The sequence below is a fragment of the Homo sapiens genome, chromosome 7 (genome assembly GCF_000001405.40).
Source record: "Homo sapiens chromosome 7, GRCh38.p14 Primary Assembly".
Lineage (NCBI taxonomy): Eukaryota > Metazoa > Chordata > Mammalia > Primates > Hominidae > Homo > Homo sapiens.
Window position 1 is genome coordinate 151538433 of NC_000007.14, and position 13021 is coordinate 151551453.

The 13021-nt window shown below is 44.3% G+C and overlaps 2 annotated features.

The window, feature by feature from the left end:
- Positions 504-643: an enhancer, noted in NCBI's record as "active region_26867". NCBI's record gives its function as "activates an Ori minimal core promoter by ATAC-STARR-seq in GM12878 lymphoblastoid cells {active_cell/tissue: GM12878}" and the evidence as "EXISTENCE:reporter gene assay evidence [ECO:0000049][PMID:35858748]".
- Positions 677-877: a silencer, noted in NCBI's record as "peak6846 fragment used in MPRA reporter construct". NCBI's record gives its function as "represses an SCP1 promoter by STARR-seq MPRAs in K562 erythroleukemia cells {active_cell/tissue: K562}" and the evidence as "EXISTENCE:reporter gene assay evidence [ECO:0000049][PMID:32103011]".

Consider the following 13021-nt stretch of genomic DNA (forward strand, 5'->3'; position numbering starts at 1 on the left):
TCCTGGTGCACTGTGCAGAGCCAGGCTTGGTTTAAAGTCTCTATTGTTAGCAGATGTCAGCACGACCAGGGTCAGGGTCAAACAGGGAACTCACAAAATGAGTTGAATATTTTAAAAAAAAAGAAAAAGTGATGTGCCTAGATAAACTACAAGAAAAAAAGCCATCTTTAATTGATGTATAAGAAATTTTAGCTGTTAATTTCCATGAGGATTACAAATGTTAAGATTAATGCAAGCATAAAATTAGCCAACTGTCTATAGCTCAAGAAAATTTGCCATTCAATATGCCATATATTAAACAGTAAAAATATTCAAACAGGACACTTTTGAAAATAAGCTTCATGCCCTGGTGGAAGAATGGATTATCTCAGAGAACTGAGCTCAGCAATAAATACATTCTTAAATGAAATATCCAATCCTTATTTGGGAGTGTAGCTTTATCTTAGTGTTTGCTGAGATACAGGAGTTCATTAGTAACTTGCCAGCTATGTAAGATACAGATAGACCACTAAATGAGCACACTGTGTCTGTATTGATAGTTTTATTTCCAGTGGAACTGAGATCAAGCACCGTGCTTGCTGGTTAGTTATACAGCTTTTTTTCTGGGGAAATTTTAGAAAGCTTTTTGTGCCCTAAGGGTCCCTCTGGGGTTTTCCTGCTGCACAGATTGTCATGTTCTGTGCAATGTGACTCTGAGATCCTGGTCCACAGCTGATTGGGTCAGAGAGGGGCACCTGACCCTAGTGCAGCCAGTTTCTAAGCTGGCCTGTGGCCGACTCAGAGCTCTGCTCAAAAGAGCCATCTATTCTGTGTGGTGATTGGCTTGCTCAGCCAGAGGATATTTGAATATAAGATGCAAGAGTCTGCAGTCAGAAGCAGGGTGGAGGCTGAAGGACACCCAGGGAGACTAGAGCCACGAGGCAGCAGAAGCCACGAAGCAGACAGAGCAACCATGGATGCGGGGATCACGGAGGAGTGGAGTGATGGGGAGCGACCACCGCCCACTGCTGTTCTTGGGGTGATGGCAGAAAGAGCAGGAGAGCAGGGCTGTATCCCCAACAGGGTTCCTGTTCTAAGCACGTTTGTGTGCAGGAGGCTGGCTGTGCAGCTGCCTGACCGTTCTCTGTTTCTTTTCAGTACAACCCTGTCACTAAGGTAACCAGACTATAGCTTTTTCTAGGGAGCCAGGATACCAAGCAAAGCCTTTGCTTATCAAACTGACTGGTTCTCACTAGGGGCTCTCAGAATCTCTGAGTGAGTTCGGCCAAGTGCTGGTCTTTGCATGTCGGTATTAAGCCAGAATACACACAAAGGGAGAGGAGGGTAGGCCGGCTAGTAATGCAACCAAGAGAAATATTAGGGAGTAGATAATTAAATTCTATGAAATTGAAGGATATGTCTTAGAAAGTATTTATGTATTGATTTTTGAAACAGGGTCTTGCTCTGTCACCCAGGCCGGAGCGCAGTGGCACGATCATAGCTCACTGGGACCAAACTCCTAGGCTCGAGGGATCCTCTTGCCTCAGCTTCCCGAGTAGATGGAACTACTGGTGTGGGCCACCACACCTGCCTAATGGTTTTATTTTTAGTAGAGACAAGGTCTCACTATGTTGCCCAGGCTGGTCTTGAATTCTTGGGCTCGAGCGATTCTCCTGCCTCAGCTTCGTAAAGTGCTGGGGTTACAGGCATGAGCCACTGCGCCTGACTTGTCTAGAATTTATGGTAAATTATTACAGTAGTCCTCCCTTAACCGCAGTTTTGCTGTCTGTGGTTTCAGTTACCCATGGGTGACCCTGGTCCAAAAAATATTAAATGAAAAATTCCAGAAACAATTCATAAGTTTTAAGTTGCATGCCGTCCCTGAGTCGCGTGATGAAATCCTGCTCCACCCTGCTTTGTCCAGCCCAGATGTGAATCAGACATCCCTTTCTCTAGGTACCTGTACTGTACATACTACCTGCCCTTCAGTGACTTAGTAGCCATCCCAGTTATCACACAAGAAAAACATAGTCTATACAGGGTTCAGTGCTACTCATGGTTTCAGGCATCCACTGGGGGTCTTGGAACACATTTCCTGTGGATAAGGGGTAACTACTGTTCTTTTACAGTTTGGGATTGTATAAGCTGGGCACAGTGGTTCACACCTGTAATCCCAGTACTTTGGGAGGCTGAGGTGGAAGGATCGCTTGAGGCCAGGAGTTTGAGACCAGCCTGGGCAACATGGGGAGAATGTCTCTACAAAAAAGTGAAAAAAAAAAAAATTAGCTGGGCGTGGTGGTACACATCTGTAGTCCCAGCTACTCAGGAAGCTGAGGCGGATGGCTTGAGCCCAGGAGTTCAAGGCTGCAATGAGCGATGATGGTACCACTGCACTTCAACCTGGGCAACAGAGTGAGACCCTGTCTCTAAAAACAAAATTTAAAAAATCTTGGGATTGTGTAAATAAATTTCCATTAAACAAGAATTGTTGACTATAACAACGGCCAACATTTTGTCTTTTTAGTTTTGTGGCTTATTTACTCCTGAAACCTCTTTTTGCATTTAAATAATTTTGCTTCAAATAAGGTAAAGTGTTAGCAGAGGCAACAAAGACTCCTCATGGTTACTGGTAGATCCATGCAACCAAAGCTTCCCGAAGATTTAAGCTTTTTCTTAAGGCATTCAGCGGTAAAGTTATTTTATTATTATTATTATTATTATTATTATTATTATTTTTGAGATGAAGTCTTGCTCTGTCCTCCAGGCTGGAGTGTAGCGGCACAATCTCGGCTCACTGCAAACTCCACCTCCCAGGATCAAGCGATTCTCCTGCCTCAGCTTCCCGAGTAGCTGGGATTACAGCTGTGCACCACCACGCCTGGCTTATTTTTGTATTTTTTCTAATTTTTATTTTTTTAGTAGAGACTAGATTTCACTATGTTGACCAGGCAGGTCTTGAACTCCTGACCTCAAGTGATCCACCCTCCTCAGCCTCCCAAAGTGCTGGGATTACAGGCGTGAGTCACCACACCTGGTCAAAAAATTATTATTTTGTATACAGGTGTAATAAAATGCATAAAAGAAATTATATTTTAAAATCTCTTGAAAATCCATTATCCAGAGGTAACTCCTATTAGTACTTTGGTATAACGTACTTCTAGACTTTTTCTAATCACATTTGTATGTATTTAGAGCCTACAAAAATGAAATCATACTGTCCATACCATTTAATGCCATCTGTTTGGCAAATATGCATCTATCCACAGCATAATTTTGAATGTCTGTGTAGTATTCCATTATATGTATCATAAGCTACTCCAACAATAATAGCAACCTATGGAGCTTTTACTTGGATTCAAGTGCCTTCTATGCACGACCTCGACTAACCCGCACACTGACTCTACGAGGATAGGTATGATTTAGTGTCTCCATTTAACAAGCAAAAAACCGAGGTTTAGGGCTGCTGGCCTGCCCAGTTGCTCCCCCTGTCACGTGGCGATTGGAAGGCAGGCTCACTGGCTCCAGAGCACGCACCCTGACAACCACTTTTGTGCTTCCTATTGTTGGACACTTTGGAAACCACCAAAGTGGTTTCTAAAAAGCTACATGCCAATTGTTATTTTGGTATAAATGTCATTTTTAAAAATTAAACCAGATAATCATATAATATGATAAATATCATAGAATATGTTTGAAAAGTAAAAGCAGTCCATTTTTATACCTGTCTCACTAATATTTAACTAACTCAAATGACAACTTACGCTAATTTTATTCTTAGAGACGCTAATGAAATTGCTGTGTTCATTCCCTCCATTCCTCTCCTGCAGTCAAACCGCCCCAGACGGGGACACCGCGTGGTTTCGAGAGGCCTCTGGCTGAGCTCCTCACCTGCTGGCAGCTTCTCTTCCTCCCCAGGCCCAGCCAAGTGAGGAGCCACAGCCTGGAGACAGAAAGGACACGGTGCCTCTCCTCCCTGCAGTCCTGTTCCTAGGACTTCTACCATGCCCTATCCCCATGTTTTGTCCCCATGCTGAAGGTTGGGGATTAAATTAAAGAGCATCCCTACACACGTTGCATAAGACCCACTCGGCACATATTTCCCCAGTAGGAAAGCAGCACAGTACCTTTCCTTACAAAGGCTATTTCTAGAAACCGCTCGCTAGGTGTAACTTGAACCTGATACTGGTCAATACTTCTCCTGGAAGCAGAGTGAGTTCATGAGCTGATGGAGGGCTGACTTTCAACTTTATTAGACTGTGATGCCCAGTGAGGTTGGCAGATATTTTCCAATTTGATTCAGATGATCTCTGAGAAATGGTCCGTTTAATCCGGATTTCCTAGGATGAAGCTATTGGCACCTCATTCAGCCTTCTGTATGGTTACATGCAGGGCTAGAGTCCAGGAGATGTACTCAGAAGAGGCACAGATGGATTCTAGTCTCCTGTGGGATCAGGACACATTGAAAGAATTCAAGGTCTTCAAAGAGGAACACAGGTGGCCTGGGAGTGTGAAAAGCTGTCCAAGAGGCGGGGCACAGTGACTCACCCCTGTAATCCCAGCACCTTGGGAGGCTGAGGCAGGAGAATCACTTGAGGTCAGGAGTTTGACACCAGGCTGCCCAACATGGCAAAACCCATCTCTACTAAAAATACAAAGTTAGCCGGTCGTGGTGGTGCATGCCTGTAGTCCCAGCTACTTAGGAGGCCGAGGCAGGAGAATTGCTTGAACCCAGGAGGCAGAGGTTGCAGAGAGCCGAGATCACACCACCGCACTGCAGCCTGGATGACAGAGTGAGACTCTGTCTCAGAAAAAAAAAAAAAAAAAAAAAGCTGTCCAAGAGCTACACAGGAACAGACAATGGAAAGAGAATCAATTTCCAGGTTTTCAACTGACATGGACATGCCCTTTCCTAGATGGGTCTGCCTGGCATGCACCTGAGTTTGTTGTGGCTCTTTTCCCACCTCAGAAAAGAAAGGTAGACCCCTCGCTAGTCCTAAGTCCTACTAGGTTGCATTGTTCCTGGTGTACCAAACACTGGGACACCAAATCAGGGAGCACTCCTTTAGTGATTCACGGGAACATCACAAGCCCTAATGCTTCCTATGCTCTTCCTTCTCATTCACATTTACCTTCAGGCTGCAGCCTGATGTTACAAGTGTGGTGTTGAGCTGAGAAGTTCAGAATTCAGAAGTCGGGGAGAGAGGGGTGGTGAGAAGAGCACTTTTCATGAACTCCCCTCTTCCATCCCTGGACTGTTGCCAATAAATCTCAATTTTGAACAAGAGTTTCATGAGAGCAAAACAAGGAGAACATTGAAAAAGAAATAATGTATATGTATATGACAACCACTTTTTTCTTTTTTAACAGAGACAGGGTCTCACTCTGTCACCCAGGCGAGAGTGCAGTGGCACAATCATAGCTCACTGTAGCCTCAACCTCCTGGCCTCAAGCAATCCTCCCACCTTGGCCTTCCAAAATGCTGTGATTACAGCAGTGAGCCACTGCACCTGGTCTAAAAACTACTTACTAAAAATAGTTATCAGAACATAATTCTTTTCCACTGCTGTCTCTTAAAACTCCCTCTCTAACATGCATTGTTAACTGGAAAGAAAAGAACTTCATTTGATTATTTTATTTTATTTTTGAGACAGGTTCTCGCTCTGTTGCCCAGGCTAGAGTGCAGTGGTGCAATCTTGGCTCACTGCAACCTCCACCTCCCGGGTTGAAGTGATCCTCCCACCTCAGCCTCCCCACTAGCTGGGACTACAGGTGTGTGCCACCAGACCCAGCTAATTTGTATATTTTTAGTAGAGATGGGGTCTCACCATGTTGGCCAGGCTGGTCTCAAGCTCCTGACCTCAGGTGATCCACCTGCCTTGGCCTCCCAATATGCTGGAGTTACAGGTGTGAACCACCACACCCAGCCAAAAAGAACTTTAAATAGCCAAAGCAGTATATGATGATTAAGCTAATTCTATTTATGCCAAATAAGTTAAGCAAAACTCAACAGAACTGAAAAGAGAAGTAGAAATCATGTGGGAAATTTTAATACTTTTCTCTCAGTAATTGATAGATTAAGTAGTTTTTGAAAATCAGTAAGGATAGGGAAGATTTGGTAATAAACTCACCAAACTTGTTAACAAACACCTATAGAACATTGCACTCAACAAACGGAGAATACACATTCTTTCCAAGCATATATAAACCACTTATGAAAACTGGCCCTGCAATGGGTCAGAAAACAAGTCTCAACAAATTTCCAAGAGTTTCTCACATCGATCATGTTCTCTGACCACAGTGCAAATGAGTTCGAAGTCAATAACAAAACATAGAAAAGAGAACTCCATACTTCTGGAAAATAGGAAATACACATCTACATAATTCATGGGTCAAAAAATCAGAAAGAAAATTAGAAAATATTTAGAACTGAATAAGAAAAATGCTACAAATGAGCACTACGAGTCAAAATTTATGAGATGCCATAAAAGGAAAAATTTTAAGCTTAAACGCTTACTTTAGGGGGAAAAAAGACTGAAAGTTAAACAGCTTTGTAACCTATTTTATCAGTTAGGACCGGGCGCGTCGGCTCATGCCTGTAGTCCCAGCACTTTGGGAGACTGAGGAGGGCAGATTGCTTGAGCTCAGGAGTTTGAGACCAGCCTGGGCAACATGGCAAAACCCCATCTCTACAAAAAATTAGCTGGGCATGGTGGCATGCGCCTTAAGTCTCAGCCACTCGGGAGGCTGAGGCAGGAAGATCACCTGAGCTTGGGAGGTTGAGGCTGCAGTGAGCTGTGATTGTGCCACTGCACTCCAGCCTGGGTGACCAAGTGAGACCCTGTCTCAAAACAACAACAACAAAAAATTAGGACAAAGAATAAACTCAAGGAAAGTAGAAAGGAGAGAAAAGAAAGAGCAGAAACCGAAGATATAGAAAACAAAAGTTAAACATTATGCATAAGGAAAAGTGTTATTTTTGTTTTTATTTTTGTTTTGAGTCAGAGTCTCGCTCTGTCTTCCAGGCTGGAGTGCAGTGGTATAATCTCCACTCATTGCAACCTCTGCCTCCCAGGTTCAAGCGATTATCCTGCCTCAGCCTCCTGAGTAGCTGGGACTACAGGCGCCCACCACCACAGCCAGCTAATTTTTGTATTTTTAGTAGAGACGGGGTTTCACCATGTTGGCCAGCCTGGTCTCGAACTCCTGGCCTCAAATGATCTGCCCACCTTGGCCTCCCAAAGTGCTGGGATCACAGGCGTGAGCCACCGCACCTGACGGCAAAATGTTGTTTTCAGAAAGAACTAATCAAATTGGCCAGCTTCTGGCTGGGCAGCAGGTCTAGAAAAGTCATTCATCCAGATGGAAGCAAGAGGATGGGAAGGTGCAGGAGGGAGGTCTCTGAGAAGAACAGAAACACAAAGTACCTGAGGTGCAACTCACTGTGAGGAGATGAACAGGTTTCTAAAAAATTTCTATAGCAGCTGCGCCATTTTGCTTTCCCACCAACAGGGTATAGGGGTTCCCTTTTCCCCCATGCTCTTGCCAACTCTTGTTGCCTTAGGTCTTATTGACAACAGCCATCCTAACAGTAATGGGGTGATACCTCATTGTGGCTTTGACTTATATTTCTCTCATGGTTAGTGATGCTGGGCCTTTGTATGTCTTCTTTGGAGAAATGTCTATTCAAGTCCTTACCTCATTTTTGAATCAGGTTGTTAGTTTTTGTGCCATTGAGTTGTAGGAGTTCCTTATATATGTTGTTATTAACCCTTTTTCGGATGTATGGCTTACAAATATTTTCTTGCATTGTATCGTTGCCTCTTCACTCTGTTGGTTGCATCCTCTGATGTGCAGAAGCTTTTTAGTTTGTTGTAATCCCATTTGTATCTTCTTGCTCTTGTGGCTGTGCTTTTGGTGTCATATCCAAGAAATCATTGCCAAGACCAATGTCAAGGAGCTTTTTCCTTATGTTTTCTTCTAAGAGTTTTGGGGGATGAATTAGTGATAGAACACTAATGGAACACTAAGCAAATGAAAAAGTGATTGCTGAGGTGGAGCAAGGCAGTGGGTGAGGTCATCTAGGGATGGGGGCTTTTCAGGTGAAGAGGAGCACAGGCGGGTTGATGATGTTGGCCATAAACATTGGAATCTGAACTAGAAGGAAGGGAGGGAAGCCAGCGAGTGTTTGGAGGGGTTGTGGGTTGGCCGTCTCCTTTGGGACTTGAGCAAGGGGGCTGGAGAAGGAGGAGTTTGCCCTCAAGATCAGCGCGTTCTTTCCTTCAGTGACCACATACTTGAAAGTAATGGTGGACAGGCAGGGGTGCGAGGCTGCCACCCTGCCTGTCATTTCACTTTCCAACAACATGTGCTCCCGGGATCCTCAGATGATCATTTAGTTTCACAAACAGAGGAAGGAGCATTCGTTCTCTAAGACACCTTGCCAATAAGAGAAGAAAGTGCACCCTGTTTTCTTTTTTAAAAAATGTTTACACTTCCTAAAAAACACTGTATTTTTAAAAAAAGCATTTGGGTCAACTAATTTATAGCACAAATAGGACTTTATGGGGGGAAGTATTATGAACACATCCAAAGTATTCATCATTATGTGTTGTGCTAAGATGCCTGAAATCTATAATATGGTTACTTTAAGTGAGTTTCCTTTCAATGTGCTAATAATAGTAGCATGCCCTATTTCTAATGAATGCATTTTAAAGTACCAGGAAATGAATCTCTGTTGCCATTTGAAAAATCTCTAGTGCCTGTTTTTAACTCTCAGCCTTATCTTTCCTATCAGATACATTTTAATTTTAATATGTCTCAGTTAAGATGCAGTTACTTTGAAAGGAAAGAAAATGGTTTACTTCTCTTGCGAACAACTTTTTATTATGGAACATTTCAGACACATACTCAGCACTTAGCTCTGTCACACTAATCAATGCCTGGCCAATCTTGTTACATCTGTCCCCCAAGCCACTCTCCCACCTCTATTCCTCTGAATGCTTCTAAAGCAAACCCCAAACATTATATTAGTTCATGGATAAATGTTGCAGTGTATGTCTCTAGCAGATGAGGACTTTTTTTTTTTTTTTGAGACAGGTTCTCACTCTGTTGCTCAGGCTGGAGTGCAGTGGTGTGATCAAGCTCACTGCAGCCTCGTCCTCCTGGGCTCAAGGGATCCTCCCACCTCAGCCTCCTGCATAGCTGGGACTATAGGCGCATGCCACCATGCCCTGGCTAATTTTTTGATTTCTTTGTAGAGATGAGGTCTCACTGTTGTCCGGGCTGGTCTTGAACTCCTGGACTCAAGCGATCCTCCTGTCTTGTCCTTCCAAAGTGCTGGGATTACAGGTGTGAGCCACTGTGTCCAGCTAAGGACTGAGGAGGGGGGACTTATTTTTTAAAAGGACAAAACCATATCCATAATACCATGATCCTACCTAAAGAAATCCTGGAATTCCTCAGTGTTGTCAACTACTCAGTCAATATTCAAATCTCTGAATTATGAAATCATTTTTAAAAAGGGTCCCCACATTGAATTTGGCCTATGTAGTTGCATTCATTGTCCCCTGTCCCCCCACTTTGTTTTCTTACAGTGCATCTGTTGAGGAATACGGGTTTTATGGATTTTGCCCATTATAGGCTCATTGTTTGGGTTCCTGTGTCTGCATTTCCTGTACATGAATAGTTAGACCTAAGTGGCTTGATCTGATTCAAGTTTGATTTTTTTTTGTAAGAAGACAGGATAGGTTTGACCACTGTTTGATCTGAGGTCTTTCTTTCTTCCTTTAAAAACATGAACTAGAAGGCATACGGGAGGAATCTGCTGCGGGAAAACACAGATCGATGCTGTTGCATTTCATCTCCCAAAAGCAAGGCCATGTCCATCTTGGGGAGTGGCAGTGAACATCTCTGTCGATTGTGTCCTTGGCTGTGCAGAAGCTTTGTATTTTGATGCAGTCCACTTGTCTACTTTTGCTTTTGCTGCCTGTACATCTGTTTCATTTACATGATCTCACTTAACATGCTAAGTGTTTTATGTGCCAGGTGTTTTACTTACATTATTTCACTTGAGCCTCCCAAATGCCTTCAGAAGAAGGTGCTGTTATTCCCATTTTACAGATCTGGAAGTTGAGATCCAGAGAAGTGAAGAACCAGTTTTAAGGCTAGAGGCATAGGGTGGGGAGGATCAGGGGCAGCCTGTGCTTGTCACAGCGACTGCACGTTCCGCTGACCTCCAAGATGCGCCTGGAGATTGGCTGCCCCCGCTTCAGCAGTCAGCCCAAAGGGCAAACATAAGAAACGTTTCGGGAGGGAACAAGGGCCTCCATCCTTTCCTGTGTTGGGCTGTTACTCTTTCAGCTTGACATGCATCCCCTTGTCTTCTTGATGAAGCATTTAAGATGGATACACTCAAAGTGACACTTACATTCTGCTCCCAACTAGGAATCTCTTATTTCCCTCAGGGTTCCCACTGGGAGGAGAGGGACTGCCTTGGGTGCCCTTTGTGCTTCCTAGGTCTAGTTTCTCTGTTATTAACATTGAGGCTTTGATCTCACCTAATGGTGAAAACGGGTAAAAGTGTCAAAACTTGTATTGCAGAAAAAAAAAATCAGTAAAATAGGGTGCAAAGAGAGGCATTTGTATTAACTTCCTGGGGCTGCCATAGCAAAGTATCCCAAACTGGCTGGCTTAAAACAAGGGACGCAGATTCTCTCACAGTTTTGGAGGCCAGAAGGCTGAAATCAAAGCGCTGCAGGGCCACGCTCCCTCTGAAGGCTCTGGGGAGAATCTGTTCCACGCTTCCTTAGCTTTCGGGGTTATGCCAGTCCTTGGTATTTCTTAGTTTGTGCATGTGTCACTCCCACCTCTGCCTCCAGTGTCACATGCTCTTCTCTTTGTGGATCTGCTGTGGTTGAATGTGTCCCCTGAAGTTCATGAGTTGGAAGCCTAATCCCCAGTGTGACAGCATTGTGAGGTAGGACATTTAAGAAGAATGTAACGGATTAATGTCCTTATGCTGAGAGTGGGTTTCTTATAAAAGCAAGTTTGGGGTAGGTGCGGTGGCTCAGGCCTATAATCCTAGCACTTTGGGGGGCTGAGGCGGGTGAATCACCTGAGGTCGTGAGTTCAAGACCAGCCTGGCCAACATGGCAAAACGCTGTCTCTACTAAAGATACAAAAAAATTAGCTGGGGGTGGTGGTGGGCGCCTGTAATCCCAGCTACCCAGGAGGCTAAGGCAGGAGAATTTCTTGAACCTGGAAGGCGGAGGTTGCAGTGAGCCAAGATCACGCCACTGTACTCCAGCCTGGGTGACAGAGTCAGACTCCATCTCAAACAAACAAACAAACAAACAAAAAAAGAAGTGTGGGCTCCTGGGCTCCCTCTTGCCTTGTGATGCCATCGGCCATGCTATGACTCAGCAAGAAGGCCCTCACCAGATATGGCCCCTTGATTTTGGACTTCCCAGCCTCTAGAACCGTGAGCCAAATAAACTTCTTGTTTATAAATGATGCGCTCTGTGGTTTTCTGTTATAGCAGCACAGAATGGACTAAAACAGCATCTATGTCCAAACTGCCCTCTTAAGGACACTGGTCATAGTGGGTTAAAGCCCACCCTAACGGCTTCATCTTAACTTGAATATATTTGCAAAGACACAATTTCCAATAAGGCCACATGCATAAGTAACCAGGGGTGACAATGACATTATATGTTTTGGGGGGACACAGTTTAGCTCACAGCAGCCATTTGGAACTGGGATTAAGAGCATAGGCTATGGCCAGGTGCAGTAGCTCACACCTGCAGTCCCAGCACTTTGGGAGGCCAAGGTGGGAGAACTGCTTGAGCCCAGGAATTTGAGACCAGCTTGGGCAACATAGGGAGACCACATTTCTACAAAGAAGAAAAAAAACCCACATTAAATTAGCTGGGCATGGTGGCACATGCCTGTAGTCCCAGCTCCTCAGGAGGCTGAGCTGGGAGGATCACTTAAGCCCAGGAGGTCAAGTCTGCAGTGAGCTGTGATTCCACCACTGCACCCGAGCCTGGGTGACAGCGAGATCTTCTTTCAAAAAAAAAAAAAACAACAAAAAACCAAAACACACACACACACACAAAACACACAAAACCACACACACACACACACACACACACACACACACACACACAACCAAAAAACGAGCATAGGATTTGGTATTAGACTGTTTCGAAGGCCTCAAATTTGGTGTGGTATGAACTTGGCCAAATTAGTTAACATTTCTGGGATAATAAAGACTACCTCATGATAACGTGTGAAGATTAAAAAAGATCATGTGTCCAAAGCACTTGGCTGAGTGCCTGGCAGGAAGAAGCACTTGGTGGTTGGTAGGTCTCCTCCCCTTATTTTTCTTTGCATTACTGTTATTTGCAGTAGTAGTAATGATTAATAGTCTGTGGTCTAAGCAGGCCTCATCATGAGGGTGAGATTTCAGCAGGACTTGAAGGAGGCAGGGGAGCTGGCCCAGCTGGTATCTGGAGAAAATATTCCAGGGAGAGGAAACAGCTGTAACAAAGCTTCCAGATCCTTCTTACATTGCTCTGCTTTAAGATTTTTTTCTTTTTCCTTTCTTCCCCCACACTAGAACGCAAGCTCCTGAGCACGGGAGTTTACTGCCTCCTAGATGAGTCCTAAGCCCCCAGAACAGTGCCTGGTGTGGAGCAGGGCACTCTGTGCACAGTGTAACAGTTGTTATATAAATCAGTATTGAAGCCCAGAGGGACTGGGGAGGAAACATCTCTTTTGTGAAGTTCTAAAAAGTCATGAGATGATGTGGACCATGAGCCTCATGAGAGCCCCCTCATTGCAGGCCAGGTGGCTGGTGCCTGTATTTGAAAGACTCCTCTGAACCAGGGGTACCACCTTCTCCTCTTTCCACTGGACACTTCTGATTAGGACTTATCCCAGGGGCTGGTCCTAAAGCAGTACTTAATTAAATTAAATCAAATTATGTATTTATTTATTTAGAGACGGAATCTTGCTCTGTTGCCCAGGCTGGAGTGCAGTG